Source organism: Homo sapiens, chromosome 11 (assembly GCF_000001405.40).
Source record: "Homo sapiens chromosome 11, GRCh38.p14 Primary Assembly".
NCBI lineage: Eukaryota > Metazoa > Chordata > Mammalia > Primates > Hominidae > Homo > Homo sapiens.
In genome coordinates, this window is record NC_000011.10 from 89,166,133 (window position 1) to 89,193,926 (window position 27,794).

The following is a 27,794-nucleotide window of genomic DNA, read 5'->3' on the forward strand; positions in this document are numbered from 1 at the left end:
TTCTTTTATATTCATTACCTAACTTTTTTTAGAAATGCTACTATAAGAAGAAAACTGGATACAGTTTGATTCTATATCTTTAAAATTCAATTGTTTTAATATATAATAGATGTACATGTTTTCAGGGTACACGTGACCTTTTTATAGGTTCATATAATGTGTAATGATCATATCAGGTAAATTGGGATATATGTCACCCCAAACATTTATCTTTATGCTGGGAACATTCAAATTTTTCTCTTCCAGCTATTTTAACATATATAATAGTTATTGTTAACTCTATTCACCACACTGAACTATGGAACACTAGATTTTATTTCTTCTACCTGTTTTTTTAATCCATTAATCAACCTCTCTTGTTTGAAGATGACAGGATCTTAGATTTAGAAAAACCTAAGGACTCCACTAAAAAACTGTTAGACCTTATGAACTAATTCACAAAAGTGACTATATACCAAATCAACATACAAAAATCAGTATAATTTATATATGTCAACGGTGAACATCTGAAAAAGAATCAAGATATCAACTTCATTAACAATAACTTCAAAAATAAAAAATATTTAGAAACAAATTTAATCTATGAAGTTAAAAGAGCTCTGCAAAAAAAACTGTAAAACACCAACGAAAGAAATTGAAGAGAACACAAAAAGCTGGAAAGATATCCCATGTCATGGATTAGAATAATATTCCAATTAATATCGTTAAAATGTCAATACTACCAATCCCATAAAAATACCAATGGCATTCTTCAAAGAAATAGGATTCCACATCTGTTTGTTTTCCCTGTCCTTCCTAAGTCAAGTAATGGCATGTCCTCCAGAAAGGAGATGTATAAAATATGAAGTGAAGTATATAGACTATTTGGGGATCTGGGAAGTAGAAGCTTTCTTTTATGAAGACATTATCTAATTCTAACAGTAATGCTATGAGGTGATTTTACTGTCCCTATTTTACTTAAAGAGAAACTGAGGAACAAATGAAATTGATGGTTTATATAAGACAAAACTTTAGTTTTGTATGATGATCTATTTTGTTTCAAGGGCCATTTTTGTGTGTGTTTGTTTCCTTGATATTTCTATGTATCATGATTGTCCCTAGATAAAAGGCTGTATTTTTGGCCATAGGATAAAAGAGGCATGTTTGACAAAAAAAGTAGAGTTTATATGTAAGTGATATGGGGACCACACTATAACAAATGTACTATTATAGAATTTCTAGAAGTCTTCATAATATCTTTGTAGCCTTGCATTATTGATTGACATTTTTACATATGCAGGATTTATGATGAAGCTGTGAGCCACATCAATGGCACAAATTATATTGTATGCAGCAGTAACAGTTATACATTTTATAAAACTTCTGTAAATTGTTGGCATAGACCTCAAAAGTGATAAATTGAGGGCCAATGGTGAAAAAGATGGGTTTCAGTAATAAGCAAGCACATTATGTCTTTGTTATAAAAATCTTTCTATCTCCCTTATTTTCACCTAAAATAATCCTATTCATTTGTTCCTATGAACCTTAATATGTACACACAGTGAGACATAAACCATACAATCTTTAACTCATCTAAATGTCCCTAAATTATGTTAATTTTTCACAATGCTACTATAGAGATCATATTTTCTCATTACTTCTGCCCTCTCTGTTTCAAACATAATCAGCTACTTGAAGTCCTAAAAGAATATGTCATCTCTATATTTGGCTGCCCCCTTTACCTGGGCAACAGTTTCTGTCCCTTTTTTCCTCTCTATTTTCTTACACCAATCTTCTTTCAAGCTCAGTTCAGGCATCATCTCTCTCTAGGAAGTCTTTCATAGCAATCTTGCCTCCCTTGGCCCATTTGCAGATAGTATGGGCTACATGTTTCTCTTGTGGTCCCATCATTTCCTACACGTAAATCTCAATACACAGACCTGGAGATGTAGCCACACTGGTGAGTTCAAACCCTGAATCCACCAGTTACTAGTTGCATGCCCTCGAGTAAGTTGCTTAAACTTTGTGAACCTCATTTTCTTCATTTGCAAAATTAAAATAACCATTTCCTACAGGGTAGTTGTAAAGATGAATAACATTATATAAAAAGCATAGAGTAGGCATTTGTGTTAGATATTATTCCTCTAGCCCCCTGGACCTATTCTTTTCCCTTCTCCACCTTGTTCTGGGCCCCATGAGGCTGACTTGTAAGAATTGCATCAGTAGGCTTCTTGCTCCTCTGGCTTGAGCTTGGCTTCATCCCCAGAGGTGCATGACTAGAAGATCAGAGGGCAGAAGAAAGTGACTTCTGTGGTCAGGATATTTAGTTCTCAAATCTCTCTTTGCCATGTAGACAGTGGTTGCCTGCATCCTTCTGTAAGGCCACAGATCCTGCCAGCAGGCTCAGTCGATACAGTGATCTTCTCTGTGTTCCAGTTCAATTGTTCATTGCCCTTGCCCTTCATTCCCAGTGTACTGCGTGATTACTTGTTTGATTCCTTAAACCCTACTCCCAAAATTGTAAATAGTCTCTTTGTTAAGCCCTTCTCAAAAAAACAGCTTCAGTGCGTCAGCTGTTTCCTGCCAGGGCCCTGACTGATACCACATTCCATATTTTGAACAATATGCACTTAATAAACTGTCCTGAAATTGTCTCTTGATTTCTCTGACTTCCTTACCAGGCTGTGAACTACTCCAGGACAAGGACCATGCTCATCTGTCACTGTTATCGTCTGTTGTCGTGCACATGGCTTGGCACAAAAATTAACATTAAATAAACAATTGTTTGATTAAATGAAGGAAGGGAAGTAATGCATATTGTTCTGACACCTTAAAAATAGTCACTGCCTCATATTTTATCTGAACTCTGGATGTGGTACTTCATACTGGGTGTCTAAATAAATGTTTTCTATAATGGTTGTAAATTTGTTCAGAAATAAGAGTGTGAGATGATGAAAAGGAATGTTTCAGGGCAAATTAATCTTGTGAGCAATCAACAGGCCATCAGGTTAAGCGCCACATTAAATAAGCTTAGGAGGATAGGCAGGGCAGGCTGAACTCTAAGGGAGGCACACAAGTTGACATCAGGTATGTTAAAAGACAAATTTAGGCAAATTATACTTAAAAGTTTTATTGAGCAAAGAATGAATTTGTAAATCAGGTAGCCTCCTGAGCCAGAGAAGGCTCAGAGAGACTCCAGTACAGCCACAGAAAATGGAAAGTGAAGTATGGGAAATGGAAGTGAGATACAGAAACAGCTCAATTGGTTATAGCTTGGCATTTGCCTTATTTGAACACGGTTTGAACAGTTGGCCACCTTTGATTGGCCAAAACATGGTGTTTAGCATAAGAGTAGATTACAGTCTGTTTACACATCCAGTTAGGTTTCAGTTTACCTGTAGGGAGATACCTTTAGGCTGAACTTAAAATATGTAAGGAGGCAGCATTAAGCTAAACTTAATTTAACAGGTAAATATCTCTGTAAACCCAAACTTAGTTTGGCAATTTATGTAAGTATTTGGAGAAAGGTGAGTGAGAAATAAGCATGATATTGATAATTTAGGTAAATATGCTTTTCAACCACTGACTTGCGTAACAATATTTGGTGCATCTATTTGAAAAGATATCACTTGAAGCTTAATCACTGAGATTATTTTCTTTTCATCATAGGAGGTATGTTAATTTTGCTAATTTGTTAGAAATTTTAAACTTTTGAGAGTTGAAACTACTTCTTCCGAAATCTGAGTCCCTATCACAATTCACAATTTCTGATTGTCTACTCAAAACCTGTTGTCCTTTGTCTATGCCTAAGCAACTCCTACTGTGCCTGAATGTCTAATTATCTCTATGATACAGAGATTGTAATGCTCAGAATTAGGCCCCTGGGGTAAAGAAGAATCTAAACAAGCAAGGCCTTCTCCCCCTGACGACCCACCTGTCACATGAAGGTCCTCTGGGGAAAAGGAAGGAGGTCAGAGAATGACCTTCCCAGGTCTTATGGCTTGCTTTGGGGAGTTCTGGATTCTATGACCCACTTCGAGGGAGAAAAAGAGGCCAGGGGAAGGGCAGAGAGACCTTCTTGTTTCTGTGGCACTCCCAATCTCCTTCAGCTGAAAATACTCAGCACACCAGGAAGTCATCCTTTGGGGGTATCATGTTCTGAGCTCTGAGATAAGAGAATTACTTTACTGACAGTTTGTGTCATTATTTATATTCAATAAATATTGAAAGCCATGTGCTTTCTCCTAGAGGATCTGTACAGTTTATTGACATTAAAATGAGTTGGTTTTTTAAACTTGTGAAGGTTGTACATTTTAGTTCTACATTTTGGTTCATCAGCTAGTTCTGTTCTGAATTCATCCGAGGTTGTGCTGTCTCTCAGCAGCCATTCTTCAACTCTACAGTTATATTTTCCTGCTAGCCCATTTTCTCCATAACGTGTCTTAGATTATTCTTGCTGTTCTTATAAAGCATATTTTGCTCTTTGGTAATGCTATTTAAATAATTTTAATAGATTTTAATTACAAGTGGTATAGGCATTAAGTGATAGTAAAACTAGTTCTGCATGTAGTAGAATATATGTAATCAGGAAATTGGCTTCCCAGAGATCAATACCCTCTGCCATTAAAATAATTATAGACAGTTCAACTGAAGCAAAAAAAAAATATAAGTCATTCAACATTGTGGCGACCACAATTTTCTTAACACTTCAACAACCTATGAGGATCAGTTTTAGGAGGAGCTTTAGTGCATGATTGAGGTTGTGTCACTTACAAAGAACACTTTGAAACTGGAGCAGAGGGTGGCTAAAGACACATCTGTATTCTAGAAGCCTATCAAAAATGTAGCCAAGTAACTAAAGCTGACATTCAGAACAGATATGAGAATATAGAACATGAAAAGTATGAAGTCTAAAACTAGAAGCAGGATTAGTATAGTCCAAATGCAATCAGCAAGTAAAACTAACATTAGCATGGAAGATAACACAATGAAAATATCTGTGAGACATGGAAGTACGCAGAAAGACATGGCTCTGCAGTTTAGTAGTTGCTTAATCTTAAGCATAAACATCAGGTTATTTAACTATAAAGGGATACAATATGTACCTCACAGTCTTGTTTTGAAGACTGAATCAGAAAAAAATGCATGCAAAATGCCCATCTCAAAGTAGACATCCAATAAATAATGTGGAATGAAAATGACAGTTGAATAAATCCTAGGTAAACACTTGTCTCCTCCTTCTAGCTAGACTTCTACCAAGATTCTGGTATAATTCATCCCTAATTCTGTTCTGTGAGTCTCTTCTCATATTAGGCCTTCTCATCTTCTCTGCTCTATGCTGAATGTATGGATGGGTTCTGCCCTGCATGACACTTCATTCAATGTAAGAGCTAGTCTCATTCATACTTTTACCTTTCCTCCTCTAGCTTTATTTTTCGTGTGTCCGAAATGATACTATGTGATCTTAAAAGTGCATCCATTAGTCTAAAATTTTAAAATTTATTAAATAAGTAATGAATTCATGAGTGCTTATTGTTTATGTTTTTCTGCATGTTTGAAATATTTTAGAACATGTATTTTACAAAATAAGGAAAACAAAAGAAGAAATTGAACTGTTAATTCACTCATCCATCCATTCTCCATCTCCTAAGATATTTTTTAACATGCAATGTTCTAGGCATTTGGTGTGAATCACATTTTTACTCTTAAAGGATTCATGATATAGAAAGGGCATGAGAAATATCAGTAGATTTTATGCATTGTGGTGAGTGCAATGACAAAGGTTAATTGAGGGTAGAATGAGAAAATGCAAGATAGTCCTCCAGCTTATCCTCAGAGAAGGTCTGTAGATCAGAAAATGCTTTCTTGAAGCTATGACACCTGAGATGTATCTTACAGTATGTGTAGAAATTATGCAAGTGAATAAAAGAGAAAAACATTGTTTGTTAAGAGAAAGAACATGTGCTAATTTCTAAATTCTACAGAAGTATGACATCTCAGTGTTATTGCAGAACTTCAGTATCCTAAGGAACAAGGTTTTAATTGGAGAAAAAAAGGCAATTGAGGTTGCTAACATGAGAAGGAGAGACCAATTTAAAACAATGATATTTAATTATATCCAATAAAATACTTATTCCCTAGCTCTCTAGACCAAAAATAGCCTAAAAGTATTGAAAGCATTATAGTGATAAACACTAACAGCACCAATTTATGGTCTTTAATGAAAATGGTGAACATTTATTAAGTACTTAATATGTGTCAGACCTTATATTGAATGTTTAATATCTATTAAATTATTTGAAACTCCAAATAGTCCTGTCTAGTAGAGTTGAGAACACTCAGGTTGTGATAAGTGAAATTACTGAACAAATCTTAAGTATATGCTGATTCTCTTCCTCCTTTTCTCTTGCCATGGGGCCTGAGACTAATAACTGGCAGTCCTTGGATATTACATCAGAGATTCTGACTTCATAACATCAAATTAAGGGTCAGTGACTTATACAATTTGTTTATGCCCCAGGTATTTACCATAAGGTGTTAGGAATAATAGATGTTCAATATTTATTGAACAAATGAGTGAGTGTAAACTTCAAATATAAAGAGATGATGGCTACATATTTTTTTCTTGAACTTCAAACGTGCACACACAAATATAATCATAATGATCATTGACTCACAAATCATAATGTAGGTTGACTAATATCCACTAATTAGCAAAATATTGAACACAAATGCATCAATTTGTCTCCCAAAAGAAATGCACTAAATACACAAAACTTTAGAAGTCTTCACTACAGTTAAAAATATATCATGTTTAGAGGTTGTTAGGTAGCCACATTATTATTCTGAAAATTGAAAAATGAAGGACAAGAATCAAACATTTACCCCGCTTTTCTTGTACAGGGTAACTAAATAGTTCATGAAGAAAGTTATTCTTTACAAAAAAAAGGGGATAACCATTCTTGCAACCTTTAATAAAATACCAAATGTAGGATATACTTATCAGTGAAAATAAAACCATATAAAAGTTTGCTAGAGAATTATGTAATTGAAAGGACAGTCTGACATCACTTCAAGCTGCTGATAAATTTTAAAAACAAATACTGAGAAAACCAGATAATATGGTCCTCTAGTATATCAAAATAAGTATTACTTAACAATGCCTGTGAAGTAATTGTTAAGAAAAGCAATAACAAAATTCAACTTGTATATAATAAAATCTCTAGATCTAACTCCCTGATTGTAGAAAATGCAAGATATTATTATTGAAAATGTATAAAATGATAGAAAATACAGGATAATGAGCATGTTAAATTCATAGAGATAAAAGTTGTTAACCCCGAAATGTGAGAAATCCTTAGGGCAAAAACTCAGTTTCCTCTAAAAATAAATTGCATTTTTTTTTTTTTTTTTTTTTTTTTTGAGACGGAGTCTCGCTCTGTCGTCCAGGCTGGAGTGCAGTGGCGGGATCTCGGCTCACTGCAAGCTCCGCCTCCCGGGTTCACGCCATTCTCCTGCCTCAGCCTCCCAAGTAGCTGGGACTACAGGCGCCCGCCACTACGCCCGGCTAATTTTTTGTATTTTTAGTAGAGACGGGGTTTCACCGTTTTAGCCGGGATGGTCTCGATCTCCTGACCTCGTGATCCGCCCGCCTCGGCCTCCCAAAGTGCTGGGATTACAGGCGTGAGCCACCGCGCCCGGCCGCATTTTTTTTTAAAAAAGGAAACTTATAACTTAATAGAAATTGATAAAATAGATCAACCAAAATGCAGTGTATATACCTGTTTGAATCTTGACAAAAATACTTTTGAGATAATTAAAGTAAATTAACCATAAATTTGATACCTGATATTAAAGAATTATTGTTCTTTTTGTTTGAGATGTGTTTGTGTAAGATACGTGGTTTTGTTTTTATGTTCTTAATTGTTAGCAATATATACCGAAATTAGAGGTAGAATATGCTATCTGAGTTTTGTTTTAAAACATTCCAGAATTTTTAAACTAGTAGAAACAAAACAGAAAAATGCTGGATGTTGAAACTTGGAGGTAAGTAAATGCTAGTTTATTATATTATTTTTTACTGATTTGAGCATATTTCTTTCCACAGTAAATTTTTTTCTTTAAATGGTAGCTACTGATACTGAGATAATTATATTAGTTGTATTTAATAAATGGTAGCTACCATTATAATTGAAAGGAGGGCTGAGAAACAAAGACAGAAAATGGATTCAAACTACTACCAAATAAAAGAGCAAATACCAGTGATCTGAGTGAGGAAAATGAGGAAAATTGACCAGGTTAACACAAGTGAGTGGCTGAATAATCTATACAAATACCAGAAGTAGAGGACCAGTGATTGTGGCTAGTTGATACTCAAACTCAACTTATCTAAAATTGAGCCTATATTCAATTCCCATAAACATTTATCCTCTATTGTTTCTTATTTTAGTTAATGGCACAAGCCAAAAACCTAGCACATAGCCCTAAATCTTCTTTCCCTTCACTTCTTACTGCTCTTGAATTTATCACCTATGTATCTCTCAAATTCATTAACTTATGCCCATCTCAGAGATCATTACTCTAGTCTAAGCAATGTCATGTTTGCCTGGTTTACATCAATAATATCCTAACAGTAATCTCCACATTTAATCTAGCTCCCACCCCACATCTGTTCTCACCTCAGTAGCTTGAGTGAAAAGTTTTAAATTCATGTATCGTTACCCAAAATTTTGCTACAAAGCCTTTATGGACTATGAGCTGGTCCATACACACACCTTCATTCTTATATCACGCCTCTACCATATTGGGGGTTGCAGCCACCTTAACTGTCCTTAAATCCCTTGAATATACCAACCTACTTCCACTTTGGAGACTTTGCACATGCTATTCTCTCTGCCTGGAAAGCTCACACTCCTACTGTTCTCTCTGTCATCAAACAGACTTCTAGTGATCCCTCAAGTGTCACTTGAAATGTCACTTCTCCCATAAAATTATCCCTGACTATCCCTTCTCTTGTGAGACTAGAAAGGCCCTTCTGTCATGTTCCCTAATTTCTCTCTTTAATTTTCTCTTATAGCAACCTAAAAAGTAATTTAATCCAGAAAAAAAGTTATTTAAAGTAATGTAGTTAAAATTATTATTTAAAATCACTAAAATTAAAATAGTATTTTAAGAGGCAATATCCTTCCTGATGATAGAGATTTTTGTTGTGCTTACCATCACATTCCCATCTCTCCCCATGTCTGCAAGTAAATACTTGCAGAGTATTTACTGAACCCCTAATTCTACTTTATAGAGCATTGCAGTAATTTCATGTCAGGTCATACAATAATCTCCCAAAATAGGATAGGACCCTTTCAAATCCCACAACTGAAGATACCTAAAGAATGTACATCTAGAGTCAGGAAGAAAGCACTCTAAATGGGATTTAATATTTAGGAACCCAAGACTGGCAATAAGACTGAAGACTACAACACGTGTAGGCCAGAGGAGACAGTGGCCTATACTGGGGACAAATAAAGAGGTCTGTCCTATTTAAGAAAATCAACCCTGTAAAGGAAATTAATAGGACTAAGTACATTTTAGTAATTCCTCTAAGCAGGCTCTAAAGATTATGAAAAATAGACGGGACAGCAGACACAAAAGCCCTTAAAGAGCATGATGAAGACTTTCTAAGTTATTTCACTGGAAGCCTGATAGTGGGGCAAGTGTAAGGCAAAATTCTTAATTAAATTGAACATGATAAGTTGAATTCTGTCTTCGAGAACATAGAAAAGAATTATGAAATGCCACATGTGGTTACAAGTAATGCAGACCCAAGGCTCCCCAGGGACAAGAAGTCTTGTGTTAATCTCTTTGTGGCTCTGAAAGAAAGAGAGAGAGAAAAGATTAAGCCTCCTTGTGGAGATCATGTGATGACTTCCTGATTCCAGCCAGAGGCAGCATTTCCATGGAAACTTCTCTTCCTCTTCACCCACACACTGCTCCATGTACCTGCAAAGCCTGTTCTGTCTCAAAAAAGTTGTTTGGATGAGCCGTGACTTTTTTTTTTCTTAAATAATGAGACAAACTCCAGAAAAAGAGAAAAAAGCAGAGCAGTCTGACATTCCGGCATCATCGAAATAGTGATGGCTTTTCCTAGAATGCTTCAGCTAAGGACCCAAATACTAATGATCTCCTCAAAGCTTTCACTTTCTTTTACTTTTTCATTAATTTCAGTGGACCCCCAAACTTTAAGTATGGAAGAGGACAAAGAAGGAAGCTTCAGAGGGGCAACTTTGATTTGACTACTCTTTTTGTCACTCTTCAGCTCACAAAAGAGCTCACTTTAGTTCAAAACACAAAGTCTTTAAGCCCCTCCATAGATTGGTCCCAGGTTTAATTTTCTATGATGTGTGGAGGCCTCAGTTTAATGCTCCAACTTGATAGATGAAACACAGTTCCCACCTCTACACATTTCCCCTGTCTCAGGAGTTGTATATATTCTCAGTTGTCTGTCCAACTTATGCCCACTCTTTGAGATATTAATCAAGGCACTCCCTTGATAACACTTGCATATTATTATCAAAATTATGCAATTCTTTCTAATATCAGCCCACAAATACATCTCTTCCATTAAAAGTTTGACTTAATTATCTATACTACTCATTTGAAAACTAACATAGTTAAGTTGTATTTTTAGCCATGAATTTCAGTTTCCCTAGCTCACTATACACAGAGAAGGAACTTTTGAAATAATTGAGATGATCAAAAATATTTGCTGAAGAAATATATTTCTCCTTTTTCATTCACTCACTAATTGAGAATGTCTTTGCACAAAACACATTGCAAAAACATTTTCAAAAAAATTCCTAATTTCTAGAATTGATAGGAAAAACAATATGGCTACAGCATTGGAGAGAGAGAGAAAGGAGAGAGGAGAAAGGAGAGAGAGAGAAAGGAGAGAGGAGAGAGACAGAGGAGAGAGAGAGAGGATAGAGGGGAGAGAGAGAGAGGAGAGAGACAGAGGAGAGAGAGAGAGGATAGAGGGGAGAGAGAGGGAGAGGGAGAGAGAGGGAGAGAGAGGGAGAGAGAGAGAGAGAGAGGGAGAGAGAGAGAGAAAGAGAGAGAGAGGGAGAGAGAGAGAGAGAGCTCTTTAACGTGAGATATCCCCACAATGAAGCAAATCGCCCAGTTATCAAAGTGAGCTATCCTTAGGAGTTGTCAGAAAATGCATCAGGATTATCAGAGAAAAGTATCAGAAAGATTTTTTTTTCTGATACGTTGTATAAAATAAACAAACTGAAATTCAATAACATATAAGGAATTCTGTCTGGGCTCTGAAGACAATCTCTCTCTGCATATTGAGTTCTTCAAACATTGTAGCCTCTTTATGGTCTCTGAGAAATAACTACCTTAAACCCATAATCTTTAATACTTCCTAAACTTTCTTAATAAGAGAAGCTCTATTCCTGACACTACCTCTCATTTGCAAGGTCAAATCATCATTAGTTTTGTAGTCTATTAACTGGGTTTGCTTAGGTCAGGCATTATTATTACTAACCTTATTGTTAATATTCTAACCATAAGAATTAAACTATTAATGGTGAATAGAGTTTTTCACTTTAACATAGGCCTATCCCACTGGTGGGATACGAGCCAATTCGAAAGAAAAGTCAGTCATGTGCTTTTCAGAGGATGAAAGCTTAAGATAAAGACTAAAAGTGTTTGATGCTGGAGGTGGGAGTGGTATTATATAGGTCTCAGCCAAGACATGTGATAATCACTGTAGTAGTAGCTGGAAAGAGAAATCTGTGACTCCAATTAGCCAGTTCCTGCAGACCTTGTGAGGACTAGAGGAAGAATGCTCCTGGCTGTTTTGTACTGCCTGCTGTGGAGTTTCCAGACCTCCGCTGGCCATTTCCCTAGAGCCTGTGTCTCCTCTAAGAACCTGATGGAGAAGGAATGCTGTCCACCGTGGAGCGGGGACAGGAGTCCCTGTGGCCAGCTTTCAGGCAGAGGTTCCTGTCAGAATATCCTTCTGTCCAATGCACCACTTGGGCCTCAATTTCCCTTCACAGGGGTGGATGACCGGGAGTCGTGGCCTTCCGTCTTTTATAATAGGACCTGCCAGTGCTCTGGCAACTTCATGGGATTCAACTGTGGAAACTGCAAGTTTGGCTTTTGGGGACCAAACTGCACAGAGAGACGACTCTTGGTGAGAAGAAACATCTTCGATTTGAGTGCCCCAGAGAAGGACAAATTTTTTGCCTACCTCACTTTAGCAAAGCATACCATCAGCTCAGACTATGTCATCCCCATAGGGACCTATGGCCAAATGAAAAATGGATCAACACCCATGTTTAACGACATCAATATTTATGACCTCTTTGTCTGGATGCATTATTATGTGTCAATGGATGCACTGCTTGGGGGATCTGAAATCTGGAGAGACATTGATTTTGCCCATGAAGCACCAGCTTTTCTGCCTTGGCATAGACTCTTCTTGTTGCGGTGGGAACAAGAAATCCAGAAGCTGACAGGAGATGAAAACTTCACTATTCCATATTGGGACTGGCGGGATGCAGAAAAGTGTGACATTTGCACAGATGAGTACATGGGAGGTCAGCACCCCACAAATCCTAACTTACTCAGCCCAGCATCATTCTTCTCCTCTTGGCAGGTAAGATATGCTAGATATACGATGTCAGAGTAGGGAGGAACCTTAACAATCACTTCTTCAGGCAGGGTATAAACTTCTCACCTGAACACTCATTGCAGCCCCCATCAAGGACAGAAATGGTGCCCTGTTAAGAACTCTCAATGTATCTTGTATTTTTCCTTTATAGCACACTTTAGATATTTGTGTAATTATTTGTTTAATGACTTCTACTAGGTTTCTAAACTGCAATGAACAGAGTACTTGATTCATTATTGCATTTCCCAGAACATAGTATGGTGCCTTTAAAAATGGCAATAGTGCATTATGTATTTTGTGAATTGAATAAATGAGTGAATGAATGAATATCTGGATGATTAAAAAAACAAATGATATACACTAATGTCTCTGAAAAATAAAATTATTATTCACAACAGGATTCATATGGTGTACAAATTAAAAATGCAAATTCCTGGCCTTATCCCAGACTAATTGGTCAGAATCTTCAGGAGAGAGTCCCGAGAAGGCACAATTTACTAAATGTCTATGGTGATTCTTTTAATCAGGAATGTTTGGGAAATAATTATTGGATTAGATCTTCATTTTTGAAAGTATGAAGATCCTGAGGCTTAAACAGGTAAATAATGAAGATGGCTAATATTCATTGAACATCTAGCATGTGCAAACCCCGTGGCAAGTGTTTTTGTGCATTCGTTCATTTCATGCTCTTATCAGTCTTTCCCTATTTTAGAGGTTATAAAGGTATCAGGTAACTTGTATAAGATCATACAGCTAATAAGCAGCAAAAAAAAAATCACATTTATTCTCTAATAGTCCAGCTGTATGACCACTGTATCCTATTTCCAAGGATGTGACTGCTGTGATATCTTTAGCTAAAGGATCTGGTTCATTCTGTCTCACTTTTTCTTTAGGCTGCATTAGAAGTTAGCTTTCTTTCTCAGTCCTTGAAAACTTTAGATAAAATATGAAGCATTACTATTTGGAATTGAATTCCTATTTCATCTATTCTGAATTTTTCATTCTGAATTAGGGGCAAATGGTAACCAAAGAAATATGTGCTTAATTATTTATCATTTTAAAACCATATGTTAAAGGAATGCTTTTCTGCCTGTCTTCCAAAAATTTCTAATACAGCACTTTTGACTAGCAATGCTCTATGAAATTAAGCCCAATATGTGAATGGGATGGGAAGAATCTTGCACTCAATTTCCCACAATCTGCAGTTTTGAAATGTAGATGGCCTTCTCCGCCCAACCAAGTTTGTACCCCATCCCAATGGAGTCTACTGAAGTTCATTTAAAAAATAGCCACTGTATAATTTCTGGTGTTATTAGTCAGCTATTTACCAAATGTAATGGGTTTTGTGCAGGAAAGGCTAGAAAAAATGTGCTTGGAAAAAAATCTATTTCAATAAGCTTTCAGACCTCCTACCTTAATCTATAATGTGCAAACTCTCATCTAGCTCTTATATCCTCTGTTCCTGTTTAAAAAACTGCCAGGATTGGACATGGGATTTTCAGTCAGTTATGATGCTTTATTTAACTATGTGGCTTAACTTGACCCAGAAAGGTTGGAGGACTGTCTAAATTACCAAAATAAGCTGCAACATCCACAGGAAATCTTAATAGATAGATACACATTAATTTTTAATTACATGAGATGTGTAATACCAGATGCTATCCACAACTGTATGAGTATTATTTTCCTAATTACTTATTAATTGTCAAGCAGAACTTTTTCCTTTTTCTCTCTTCATGAATGTGTTCAATTTTAATACTCTCTAGAAAAAAAAAAAAGTGTGTCAAGTCAGTAAGCCCTGAACTGAAATTGATACAATTATCAACTTCAACCTTGTTCTATGATTAAATTGCTGTGTAGAAACAGGTTTCAAAAATAAAATTAGAAAACAGAGTGGAAGGAAGATGACTGAAGAGAAACAAGCAAACCACAGTTTAAGAAAGGTGAAATGAGCATTTGCTGCTCACCTACTATGTTTTAGTAGTGTCAAGGGCTTATTAGTGGCAAAGGTGACAGTCAAACCCCACTCACATTGGCTGTTTCCATTCCTTCACACAGCCTCTCTGGTTACAAAGTCCTTAAAATAGTTAAGATCGATTGCTTACATTGCTTTAATTCAGAGTTCTCAATGTCAAAATCACCTAGGAAGCTTCCAAAAAACCATTTAAAAAGTAAAAATAAAAAACTGTTGCAAGGTTTTTATGCACCTAATTTCTTGCCAGAAATTCAGATTCAGGTGGTCTCCTGTGAGGTTGTAAAGTTCAAGAGTCTTTTTTTTTGGCAGTGGTGCAATCTCCATACGCTGCAACTTCCGCCTCCCAGGTTCAAGTGATTCTTCTGCCTCAGTCTCCCTAGTAGCTGGGACTACAGGGGCCTGCCACCACTCCCAGCTAATTTTTTGTACTTTTAGTAGAGATGGGGTTTCACCCTGTTGGCCAGGCTGCTCTTGAACTCTTGACCTCAAGTGATCTGTCCGCCTCAGACTCCCAAAGTGCTGGGATTGCAGGCCTGAGCCATCAAGCTGGGCCTTCAAGTGTTTGCATTTTTAAACCCTCATTTTGTGATTCTAATGTGCAGCCAGCACTGAGAATCATTGAGTTAATGGAGATTGTTTTGGTATCTTTTTACTTTCACTTTACAAAAACGCATGTTCTGTAATAAACACACCATTAATTTGAATGCCTTTGTCCAAATTGAATGCTTAAATTAAGAACTAGACTATTTGTGTGAGATGAGATCAAATAGTTTCTAGATTGAGTTAAGACCTTCCAAATTAGCTAGGCTGATGCACCTTTCACATAAAGCCTTCTTTTTTTATTGGTTTCAGATATCATTTTACTTGACCCCAAAATTGAGATTTGAGAGATTTGATAGCATTTATTAACTCTGAGCTGAGAGATCTTCAATTTTATTTAGGGTAACCTGTGCATTTTATTAAAAAACTATAGAAAAGCCTAAAATGGTAGGATGATTGTCCAAAGTCACACATCTGAGGACTAAAACCAAGCGGCTCTGACTGCAGTGCTTTTTAAGTCAACAATGTTATTTCTTGTTTATAAGGATCCATTTAGGTTCAGAAGGGGTCAAGTAACCCGCTAATTTCTGGGTGTATAATTTGACATTTGATCACGTTGACTCCCTTAAAATTGTCCTGCCCCAGACAACATAGGCAGACACAGTGATGTAGTCCTTTTAATTTATATCATAATGAAAATATTCTGAGACTTTTACTGATCCACCTCTGTTACTCAGGTAGAGTTGACCCTCTCCCCGTCTTTGTGCTATCATTGTACTTTATACAGATTTGTATCATAGCACTTGTAACTTTTCATTACATGTAGTGGTTTTCCAGCCTGTCTGTATCTGCCAGCCTGTCAGTCGCTCCAAGGTGGTGATCATTTCTAAATATTTTTGTATCCACAGAGCACAGGACTATAATATACACATGGAACAGGCTTTATAAATACATGCTGAATTTAACATCAAAGAAACGTTAGCTCCAATGCTAACATACATAAAATATTAAACTCTGCATGGGTAGATTTCTAGGACCATTCACTGCAGTTTTTTTATAGCACTGGATTCCCAATGCCAAGGATACAACAATGTCAACAATAGCCACTTACTCAAATTTGGGTATAATATATCTTGTGTCGTTCTCTCTGGTAGTTCCATATGTATGTCTGCGTGTGTGCATGCAAAGAAAGACAATACAAGAGAGAAGATGAAGCAAGGTGCAACATAGCTGAGTGTGATTTAAATGAAGTTAATATTTATTGGTCAGAGTTTTCTGTTAAATATGTTAAAATCAGGTAATTAATTTATTTGGAAATATTGTGTTCCTAATTCATGTCTGTTGTTTGCTCATTTATTTAACTCCCAAAGCTTTAAATTAGGGGCCATGTTTATCATCAATTAAAATAGTTCATTATATTTGGAGGTGGAGGGTTGCTTAATAACATTTAAGTACAAACTACCCATGCTCAATATAATTAGATCTAATGTTATGCAACCAACAGATCAGCTAGCTACAAAAATAAAAGGGGTATCAGGAATAGGTGTCATCATGAACAGAAACAAAGAGGAAAAAACATTTCCTAGCTGATACACATGAGTGAATTGTGACCAGGGAATTCACTCATCAGGTGAAAAGCACATCACATGGAAGCAAAGAGAAGAAAAAAAGTCACATTTCAGCAGAGAGTCATGGGTTTTAGGTAACCATGACGACAGCTCAGTGAAATAACAGCTTCTCTTTTTTCTTTATGAAAAAGATTTTGTGGAATGTCATACGGTTTACATTTTTTCCCCCAGATAAACCTCTAATGCTATAACAAAATCTTTGCTCCCAAAAGCTTTTAATATCTGGCAGTTTATTGCTATTTCTTTAAATTTAAGAGAACAGTATTTAGGTTCACCTTCCTCATTAATATATCTATTTCTTCTATCTCCCCTTTTTTCTTTGACTTGGAACACTTGATCGTCCCCCCAGCATATGTTATAAATCACTTGCGTTGAAATAGAAAAAAAACAGAGTCATCATCAGAACATCCAGGCTCAAATTCTACCCCTGCCATTTAGTAGACGACATTGGACCAGTTATTTAAAATCTTTGACCTTTGTTTTTTCCAAAGAGAAAAAAAATGAGGTAGAATTACCATCTATACATGTTTTGTGTGTGTGCTAATAGGAGGATTAAATGGAATGGGAAACAGAATAATGTAGTGGAAAGAGTATAGTCTTTTCAGTCACATCAGCATGAATTTGAGTGAACTTTCATACTTACTTAGCTACAAGACCCTAAGTTACTTAATTATTCTGAGACGATTTTTGTCCCTAAAATTAGAATAATATAGGTTAAAGCATTACTGTGAAGGGATTCAATAAGATGTGTTTATATGGCTTGTTTAGGATCTGACCTATTGTTTGAGTTTCATGTGTGGAAATAATATATTTTTAAATGATACATCAAAGTTAGATATAATAATGAATATTCAAACAGTGTTATACACCCAAAGTTAAAAACAATTTGGTGACCTGCCCAATGGTCTTGTTTTCAAAAATAATTATGATAGTTGTCATTATTAAACACTTTACACTTGGCACTATGCTAAGTGCTTTATACATGTTAGATTATTTGATCATTGATAGAAACGTATAATTCCCATTTACAGATGAAAAAACTTAATACCCAGAGAGCTTAAGTAACTTGCCCAAGGCCATGTAACTAATAGGGTCAGTATTGGAAACCAGGTCTTTCTGACTAGAATCTTCATGATCATAAGCACAATGCTAATATAATTTCTCCTAGCCTGCCTCCTCTCCTGTATGCAGTGTAAAGACTAAGGTTTGGAGTTTTTCAAATTATTTCTGGAACCAGGGTAGATTTTCTCCTCGTTAGTAATACCTCCAGTCATCCGAACACTTAGTCACTTGGCAGTTGGCATTTCAGCAAAAATAGTTTCATTCAAGCCTCTCTAATTTAACTGAGTTGGCTGTAGGAGTCTTTAAGGCAGCAGGATCTTTTGAAAATATCCTGAGATTACTCAAAGAGGAATAAAAATGATTTAGTCTACATACTTGTAGCGTCCAGTTAACCCAAATTATAAAAGCATCCAACATATTACATTCAATGTAAAAGTTAGGTTAGTTTTATTCAACCATTCCTAAGCCATTAACACGTCATAATTAATGTAGTGGGTATTGCTTCAGAATAAGGAAACTTGTGTTTCAGTGCTTTGGTTTTGACTCTAAATATCATATGGCCCTAAGACAAGTCACTCAACAGTTCTAGTTCTCAATTATATATGGATAAAAGGATTTAGGAACGTTATGAGGTATAAGGCAAACTAGAAACTGGCATTTGTTGAAACAGAAATTATTTGTTGAATAGTTTCTTTTCGTATATTATGTCATAGTACAGTTTAAAAAAATTGAGATTTAGCAAGTCTAAAAAACATGTTCATTGCCAGTAAGAAAATTAGCCAGAATTGAAGTTGCATCTACCTGTATTACGGAGCCCAATTTTTTCTCTACCACACAATGCATAAATTCTTAAGTTATGTCTTAGTGACCAAAAATTAAGAGTAGGTTCTCTAAGCATTTCTTATCTAACACAGTAGCAGCCATCTATGGTGGGGGGACTGCCCATTCAATTCTATTTGAGATGACTACATTTGTTTATACATGCTTATAGATAGCAAATTCAGTGGGATAGGAGGACCAATAAAATAGTCTTGATTATTTTCAAATGTGATGCAAACAGTTGACCGGGAAGACATTTTACCTTCAAATTATTATTCTATACGTCTCGCCTACTGTTCACAAAATTATAAATCATAACATGGGTCTTTATATCCCGTTAGCCTTTTGTAGTCTTCCACAGTCTGGCTTAGTATCCTCATCATGAAAATAGAGATAAAATCATAAAAATCCACAGGGTAGTTGTGAGAATTTCTAATTTTAATGTATATGGAGATATCTCCCTTATGGCCTAGGACAGAGTAGTGACTCAATATAGGTTTAAAAAAATAAGTTCTAGAAATATATTCTATGGTAAAGGTGGTACCAACAACATGACCAAGAAAAATGAGCACTCAACACATACTTTTTGTAGGAGATTCTTTGGCTCATCCACTGACTCTGTTCATTCATCCAACAAATTCTTACTGCACATCAACAGGGTGCTAGAAACTGTACTAGATTCTGAGAGAAAAGAAATAAACAACAATGTGAAAATAAATGTGTCTTCATGAAGGATGCGTTTTTATAAGGGACGTAACAATCATTGTTTATTAGAGACGAAAATGAGTAAGTGTAAGTTGGGTAAAGAACAATGTTATCTCCCTAGTGGCCCCAAGCCTCCCACGGAAGCATGCACCTGTTGTGAACAGTCAATGACGGCAGGGTGGACTCTCCTGAATTTCATCTTTTGCTTCGAATGTATCTCTCACTACCTAATTACTCTATTTTATTAAATCTAAGGTATCAATGAATTTAAGTGATGCATTCATTTATGTACCACTAAGAAAAATAAAAAAATATATTTATCTTAAAAGCCCTTTTTGGCTTACGTAGTCACATATTTTTATCATAGTTTATTCTTCTGCCTCCATATAAATGAAACTACAAGAAAAATAATTTGGTGAAGGATTCCTGAAATGTTTTTACATTCAGAGTCAGCCCCTTTTGAGTTACTTTTAAAGTCAGAGTCAACAATGCCTGTTTTTACTAATTATTTGCTTTGGCCTTAAAGAATGGGTAGGATATTAGATGCATGGCAAAGAGTGGGCATGCTTAGCCACAATCAGAGTCATGGAATGGAGAAGCACAAGCAGTGTCCAGAGAAAGTAGGCCATCTGACTTTAGCAGCAGGATCACACAGGATGTGAGCACATGGAGAATGGTTGCCTGACTCGAGATATTTTTTGGAGGTAGAATTGCCAATATAAAAGCAGTGCCATCGCACAATGCTCCATGCTCAGAAGCAGACCCTACATTTGAGGTTTAATGATCTGTGGTCTTGGTGTTGAAATTCTTATTAATCTTATCTTTGGGTTTGTGCTTTATAAGTGAAGTTATAGGGACAATGGAGCATATGCTTGGTTCATATGCATCCTGCAGACCTTTTGTTCTTTGTTTTCCTGGGATGGGTCTTGGCTACCACTACCCATCCACCAGCCCTACCTAGTTTCCACCTCCTCACCCTCTGCCCAAGGCCACTGGTGGGAGGAAAGAGGTCAACATTTCACTGTCACTCTCCATCCCTGGTGGGGTCCTTGGTGCAAGCAAAAAGAGGTGTGAGGTTGGGTGTTGATCCCATGATTTGTTGGTTCAGAGTAAAACAGAGGCCTTCTCTACCGAGGCTGGCTGCACCTTAGCACGGTGCACAGGTGATTACATATAGACCTCTCAGCCAGTATTATGGACTGAATTGTGTCTCCCAAAAATGTGTGTGTTGAATCCCTAATTTCCAGTGTGACTATTTGGAGGTAGGTCTTTAAGGAAGTAATTGAGGTTAAGTGAGGTCATTAACAGTGGGGTCCTAATCCAACAGTACTGATGTCCTCATAAGAAGACAAAAAAGACAGAGCCATCTCTTTCTTTGTGTATGCGTAGAGAAACGGCAATGTGAAGACAGAGAAAAGGTTTCCTCTGCAAGACATAAGAGAGGCCTCAGCAGATACCTTGATCTTGGACTTCCAAACTCATGAACTTTGAGAAAATAAATGTCTGCTGTTTAAGCCACCCAGTCTGTAGTATTTTCTTATGGCAGCCTGAACTAATCTACCCACCTACTCAAACAAGTCTTAGCATGGAGGTTTCAATCCCTAGGGAGTCACCTATTCACTATAGACTGAGACTGTGGGATACCTATTCCCTGTAGATTGAGAAAGTGAATATTGATTTCCCTACCCCCAGCCAAGGCCTCAACATTTATCTGGTGCTGCAAATTGCATAGCCAGTCCTGCCTAGAGCACCACAATATTTACAGGTAAGACAGACGAGGAAGAGCTAGTAGGACACACCAAGTAGTAACAGCAAGAGAGAAAGGCAAAAATCAAAGGGGATGTGATTATAGAAATCAGTACATAGAGGAATGTGTTTTGTGAAAATGAAAGTGGTCAACTGTGCCTAATGCTATCTTAACATGGGGACTTGCAGGGATAATTGGATTTTATAATATGGAGTCTTTGAAGGTTCATAACAAACTCATTGGCCAAGAGATGACAGGGGAAGATGACTAGAGTGCCTTTATGTGGGAATGGGTAGCCAGGAAATGGAATTTTCATTTAAGATACTTGCTAAGATTTAAGCTTTAAATCATGTAGTCTATATTCAAATATTAACTCCCCCCGTTTTATAAACTATAAATGTTTGATGAAGCCACTTAACCTCTATAAGCCTGTTTTCTCATTGATGAGATGGAAATATCAAAAGAACTCCTCTCATAGAATAATTGATTTACTGTTATTGAATTTCAAACCAAAGTTTTCAAATGTCTTTGTGTCAGGCACCATACCATTACACAATAATACATAGTGAATAGGATACAGTTTATATTTTGATAGAGTTTATCACCTAACAGGTATGTTTATAAAGATTAAATATATACACCATATTGCCTTATTCATTGATTTAAAAATTCATTTACAAAAATATTAGCACTTTAAGTATTGAGTATTTTATGTAACTTATCTTCTAGTGGAGTAGGTCTAGTAAGTGTGTGTGGTGAGACAGTAAAACATTATATATAATATTTTATTTAAAAAAGTTAAAGGAGTTAAAAAATATAATAAGTTATATATATTGTTTTACTGTCTCACCCACTCACACTTCCTAGACCTACTCCACTAGAAGGTAAGTTACATAAAGTACTCAATACTTAAAATGCTAATACTTATTAAAAATGTTTAAGTCAATGAATAAGGCAATATGGTATAGACATTAAATCTTCATGACCATACTTATTAGACTGTAAACTCTATAAAAATAAAAACTATGTTTATCGTGTTCAGTATGTATTCTTGTATTCTGGTATAATGCCTGACACATAGACATTTTAAAACTTCGGTTTGAAAAGCAGCAACAATAAATCAATCATTCTATGAGAGTTCTTTTGATTACATAGTTTGTTAGAAGGTGCTAAGTGCACAGATAAAGCAGAAATTAGTGGTGTACAGTAAATGTTTAATAACTTGTTCTCAATGGAGGAGTGGGAAAGTAGGGAGAGATGATTCTGATTTGCCAATTGTTGTGGTGTAAATACTGACAATGGTAGATTTCCATCTAATGATGGGATACTGCTGAACATTCTAATATTGAGAAGGGTTACACACTTTGAACTTTTGCTAGCTAGTGCTAACCAGCTCTACAACACTGCTAAAGTGGGTAAGGCTGAATATGATGTTAAATAGATGTTTAGTGTAGATTTCATTAAGATAATGAAGATATGAATAACCCAAGCAGGTATCAAGGGAAAACAGTCTACCCAGAAAAAATAACCAGTACAGGAACATGTTGCATAAGAGTGATTGGTGAGTTTTGGGAAGGGCAAAGAGGCCAGTGAAGTTATAGAAGAGAGGGAAAGGGAAAGATCAGTAGGAAATAATGTTTGCATCAGTCAGGATCTCAGTAGGAAATAGATACCCAAACCAAGTTATATTAAGACAGTTTATTTAGAAAAATTTGATCAAGGTTTAGGGAAACCAACAAAGAACAACATCCTGTTGTCAGCCACAACTGAGATACAGGACTAGAACTCTCTATTTTATTTTAACCTAGAACCTACTTTTAAAAATTTTTTAATGTTGAGTTCTGCTAGACTAGTTATAAAAGCACAAAATACACTAAAGATGAAGTTGGAAAACTTGGGTTGCCATCACAACACTGCCATTTATTTGCCATATAACCTGAGAAATGCCACTTACCCTCTCTGAGTCTCATTTTCCTTATTTGTGAAGCGAAATGTATTGTTTTGTGATGTAAATGAAACAATGCATGTGCCGTGTTTTCTTAAAAAGTTTTGCTTATAGAAAGGTGAGAAATTCTTATTTTTAAGACGGTATTTCTACAATGAAAATCACCTTGGTTCTAGCTAAAGGATCAGAGAAATTTCTTTTCTTAAAAAACAATCAACCACGAGTATTGTACTGCACATCAAAAAAAAAAGGGACAATAATAGGATATTTTATGAACAAAAAGCACAAAATGAAACTATTTCTAGTCCTTGACATTCTGAATATAATATAGATTAATGTTTTTAAAGCTACTGTTTATTGAGTGTTTTCTGTTGGTCATGCCATGTGCTATGGGCTTTATATACAGTAAGATGCCTATCTCTATTGTTACCAACCCCAGCCTCAGCACTTGGCACAGTGCTTAATATATAATAGGTGTTTAATAAATATTTTATTTTCTATAACTATGTGAGGTAGTTGTTATTATCTTCATTTGATAGATGAGGCCTAGACAGTTAAATCATTTTCTTAAGTGGTAGATGCAACACTAGAATCCTGTTCCAGGTTTTAACTTTTATGGCTCATTCTGTAACCTTCAAAAAGCTAATTCTAAAATACAGTAGTATGCCACACAATGGCATTTCTGTCAAGGATGGACCACATATATGACAGAGGTCCCACACTACTATAATGGAGCTGAAAAATTCCTGTCACCCAGTGACATCATAGCAGTCATAATATTATACACAATGCATTACTCATGTCTTCGTGGTGATGCTGGTGTAAACCTACTGAAATCCCACTTGTATAAAAGTCTAGCACATAGCATTATGTACACTACATAATACTTGATAATGATAATAAACAACTATGTTACTGGTTTATGTATTTACTATCTATATTTTATCATTATTTTCGAATGTACTTCTTCCACTTATAAAAAAGTAAGTTAACTGTAAAACAGCCTCAGGCAGGCTCTCCAGGAGGTGTTCCACAAAACGCCTGGATGTTTTATAGAGATTGTTATAGAGATGATAGCTCCATGTGTACTATTGCCCCTGAAGATTTTCCAGTGGGACAAGATGTGGAGGTGGAAGACAATGATATTGACAACTTTGACTCTGTGTAGGCCTATGCTAGTGTGTATGCTTGTGTCTCAGTTTTTAACGAAATTTCAATTATGTTTATAATAAGTAAAAAATTAAATAGCATAAAGCTTATAGGCTAAGGATATAATAAATATTTCCTACAGTTGTACAATATGTGTTTTAAGCTAAGTGCTATTATCAAAAGACTCAAAAAGTTTTAAAAAATTAAGTAAAAAAGTTACAGGAAGCTAAGGTGAATTTATCATTAAAAAAGAAAAATATTTTTATAAATTTAATGTAGCCGATATATATATAGTGTTTATAAAATCTACTGTAGTGTAGAGTAGTATCTTAGGCCTTTATATTCACTCCTTATTCCCTCACTTACTTACCCAATGCAACTTCTAGTCCTGCAAGGTCCATTTATGGTAAGTGTCCTGTATATACAAGTATGCCATTTAAAAAAAAATTTTATACTGTATTTTTACTGTACCTTTTACATGTTTAGATAGGTTTAGATGTATAGATACTTGCCATTATCTTACAATTGCCTATAGTATTCAGTACAGTAATGTGCTGGACAGATTTGTAGCCTAGGAGCAGTAGGTTTTACCAAACAGCCAAGATGTTTAGTAGGCTATACCATTCTAGGTTTGTGCAAGTACACTGACTATGATGTTCACGCAATGACAAAATCACCTAATGATGGATTTCTCAGAACATATCCCTGTCATTAAAGACACATGATTGTAGTAATCTCCTCAGGAGAAGTCTAACAACGATAATTAGGAGTTCCAACATTTCTGCCTTCTCCTACTGACTCAGTGGTGGTGACAATTTGTTTAACATGAGGGTGTTTTGTACAGATTGTCTGTAGCCGATTGGAGGAGTACAACAGCCATCAGTCTTTATGCAATGGAACGCCCGAGGGACCTTTACGGCGTAATCCTGGAAACCATGACAAATCCAGAACCCCAAGGCTCCCCTCTTCAGCTGATGTAGAATTTTGCCTGAGTTTGACCCAATATGAATCTGGTTCCATGGATAAAGCTGCCAATTTCAGCTTTAGAAATACACTGGAAGGTAATCTCTTTCTTTTCACTTTTAATTTTTTTTCTGAATTCATATTTACAGTCTCTTATCCAAAGTCCTAGGAGGTATTTGAGAATTCAGAATTTTCTGAGTTGACCAAGAATATGTGTTGTATATACTTATATCGACAATGACCCTAGCTGACACTGGTCAGCACGTTATAATTCAACGTGTTAGCTTCAGGAGCCAGGCATGGTGGCTCATGCCTGTAATCCCAGTTTACTTGGGAGGCTGTGACAGGTGGATCACTTGAACTCAGAAGTTTCAGGCTGCAGTGAGCTATGATTGTGTCACTGCATTCCAGCCTCGGTAACAAAGTGAGAGACTCTGAGGAAAGAAGCAGCAGCAGAAGCAGAAGAAGCAGCAGTAGCAGCTTTAGTGAAATATATGAATATATTCATCATGGTAATAAATACAGGCAATAGGCAACCTAATGGTGAGTAAAGTCAGTTTTTTCCATTAAAAGAGAAAAATTAATTTCATTTCCAGAACATTTTGTATTGTGGAATTTCAGATATAAGTCTGTGGACTGATACTATTTTCCTACGTTTTAGTGTTTTAGTTTTCTCCTGTTTAAAATATTCTAGGCAGTGGGTTCTTTGAGGTAAGTTCATTCATTTAACTGTAATAAGGACACAGCACATAGGTAAAGCCTCCCTCTCATTATCCCTTAAGTTTTCTGTTCTTCATCAGAGATTACATCTCATGATCTTCTCTAACTCCTAAATATTTATCCTACAAATGTTTTCATCTTGCTTGCATTTTGCATTCAAACATCGATTCATTCTTTTCTGCTTATAGCTGACTCAGTCATGAAACCCATTTCACTCACATAAATTTGCATTAGGAAAACAAAATCACAAACAAACACAACAAAACAAAAACAAACAAAAAAAAACTCAATCAAGTCACAAATTTACCAGGAGTTTGGGGAAGACATAGGCACTGACTTGTGGCAAGGCAGACAACTCAAAATTTAACACTAGACATCGCAGCTCCTAAAAGGCCTGTGACACCTTAACATGTAGAAAAACTTTCCTCTCTTTTGTAATCCTTTCTCCTTGACTTGTTCTTTTTTTTTCCTTTTTGTCATTGTTTTACACCCCAACTTTTATTATTGTACTGTGCAGAGTGGTTTTACTGTTTCATTCATTTCCCTGTTTTATTCAAAACCATAATCTCAGGGTCTTACATCCAGAATCAATTGAAGCAAGGCAAGTCTCATCCTAAAGATGAATTCTGTTTTCCAGCTATGAAAATAGAAATTAGGTTTATTCTTCTATGGTAATATTCATGATTAACTTTTTAAAGTAATCACCGTATCCAAAACACCATGTCAAACACTTTGTATGGCATTAATTCACTCAATTCTAATAACTATCCCCTGAGGAAGATTGTATTTATTATTCCCACTTTTAAGGGAGGAAACATTATCAGAGATATTCATCTTTTGGTTATTGATTCCCATTGAAAAGTGGTGGAGATAATCTGCCCCCAGCTTTATCAAGTACCAAAGTCCAAGTTCTTTCCATTGCACTCTGATAATCAACAGTGGGTTGAGAGTTTCTTTAAAGTGGACAATACCAGTTTGGTCTTTTGACATAAGAAGGCAAGACATAATGCCAGGTAATCTCAGAGCCTATATAACAAATCTAAGGTACACAATTTCAAAGTCACCATCTGGGAGGATTGGGTGACCCACTGGACTCTTCAGGGATTAACAACAGTACTCAGAATGCTGATATTAATGACATTGCAAAGCGAAGCTACATCTTTAAGGAAACTGGAGCATTTTGCTGTTTTTTCAGCCATAAGTGACAAAGCATATATTTTATTATTAAGAAGCATGGGTTAGTTGCAGAAATAAGGCAGGGGAACATCACTCGTCTAGGGTCTCAAGTCAAAGAAAAAAAGTGGCTCAAGATGTGTCAACTCAGCCAGTGGTTTTCAAGTGAGAGTCTAATACACACAGGTGAGGAGGGAACAGCAGATTTACTACAAATAATTTGCTACTACAAATAATTTATGTTTGTAAATTATTTTTTCCCATAATTTATTCTCATTCTTACACACTTTAGTAGGCAAAGTGTGTGAGAAGCAAACAGATGCAACATAGCATATTGTCTGGCACACAGTCGTTCGGTAAGTATCTGATAACCGAGTATGTAAATAATAGCTAGAATCTTTCAAATTGCATCTAAACCACCACTTACCTTATCCATGCCTGTTGTATGAAGTCCATGTCATGAGAGAAAATGTGAGAAACCATTAAGCTCAGCTGCTAAGAAGAACTTTTCTTTACCAGGTACACATTTTAAAATTATTTTTTCTTAAATTTGTATTCAGCAATAATTTTAAGCTTACAGAGATGTTGTGAAAATAAAAGCAATACAAAAAACATGAATATATATTTTACCCAAACTTACTTACATTGTATCCTGTTTCTCTCTCTCTCTCTCCCAGTCTGAGCCATTTTAAGGGTAAATTGCATAGACTGTA

General features: G+C 35.9%; 1 protein-coding gene across 2 annotated transcripts in view, besides 6 other annotated features; it reads left to right on the forward strand.

Moving 5' to 3' along the window:
* Nucleotides 1,053-3,113: an enhancer, noted in NCBI's record as "2061 bp h5'URS fragment". NCBI's record gives its function as "enhancer in melanocytes" and the evidence as "EXISTENCE:reporter gene assay evidence [ECO:0000049][PMID:14629727]".
* Nucleotides 2,354-2,753: a DNaseI hypersensitive site, noted in NCBI's record as "melanocyte-specific; the nucleotide coordinates are approximate for this feature". NCBI's record gives the evidence for it as "EXISTENCE:in vivo cleavage assay evidence [ECO:0001075][PMID:14629726]".
* Nucleotides 2,367-2,393: a conserved region, noted in NCBI's record as "conserved region; Box A region, which is necessary for enhancer activity in the mouse ortholog". NCBI's record gives the evidence for it as "EXISTENCE:sequence alignment evidence [ECO:0000200][PMID:14629727]".
* Nucleotides 2,394-2,435: a conserved region, noted in NCBI's record as "conserved region; Box B region, which is necessary for enhancer activity in the mouse ortholog". NCBI's record gives the evidence for it as "EXISTENCE:sequence alignment evidence [ECO:0000200][PMID:14629727]".
* Nucleotides 2,419-2,758: a transcriptional cis regulatory region, noted in NCBI's record as "340 bp MfeI enhancer region homologous to the mouse LCR". NCBI's record gives its function as "necessary but not sufficient for enhancer activity" and the evidence as "EXISTENCE:reporter gene assay evidence [ECO:0000049][PMID:14629726]".
* TYR (tyrosinase) overlaps nucleotides 11,743-27,794 on the forward strand; it is a 117,885-nt gene continuing 101,833 nt past the window's right edge. For both annotated transcript variants that reach the window (XM_011542970.3, NM_000372.5), the window contains exons 1-2: nucleotides 11,743-12,640; nucleotides 25,070-25,286. In XM_011542970.3, coding sequence (XP_011541272.1) covers nucleotides 11,822-12,640; nucleotides 25,070-25,286 — 1,036 coding nt within the window. In that variant the 5' untranslated portion in view covers nucleotides 11,743-11,821. The remainder of the gene's footprint in view (nucleotides 12,641-25,069; nucleotides 25,287-27,794) is intronic.
* Nucleotides 14,922-15,516: an enhancer, noted in NCBI's record as "OCT4-NANOG hESC enhancer chr11:88914222-88914816 (GRCh37/hg19 assembly coordinates)". NCBI's record gives its function as "activates a minimal SCP1, AML or CMV promoter by ChIP-STARR-seq in primed H9 embryonic stem cells {active_cell/tissue: H9 hESC(primed)}" and the evidence as "EXISTENCE:reporter gene assay evidence [ECO:0000049][PMID:30033119]".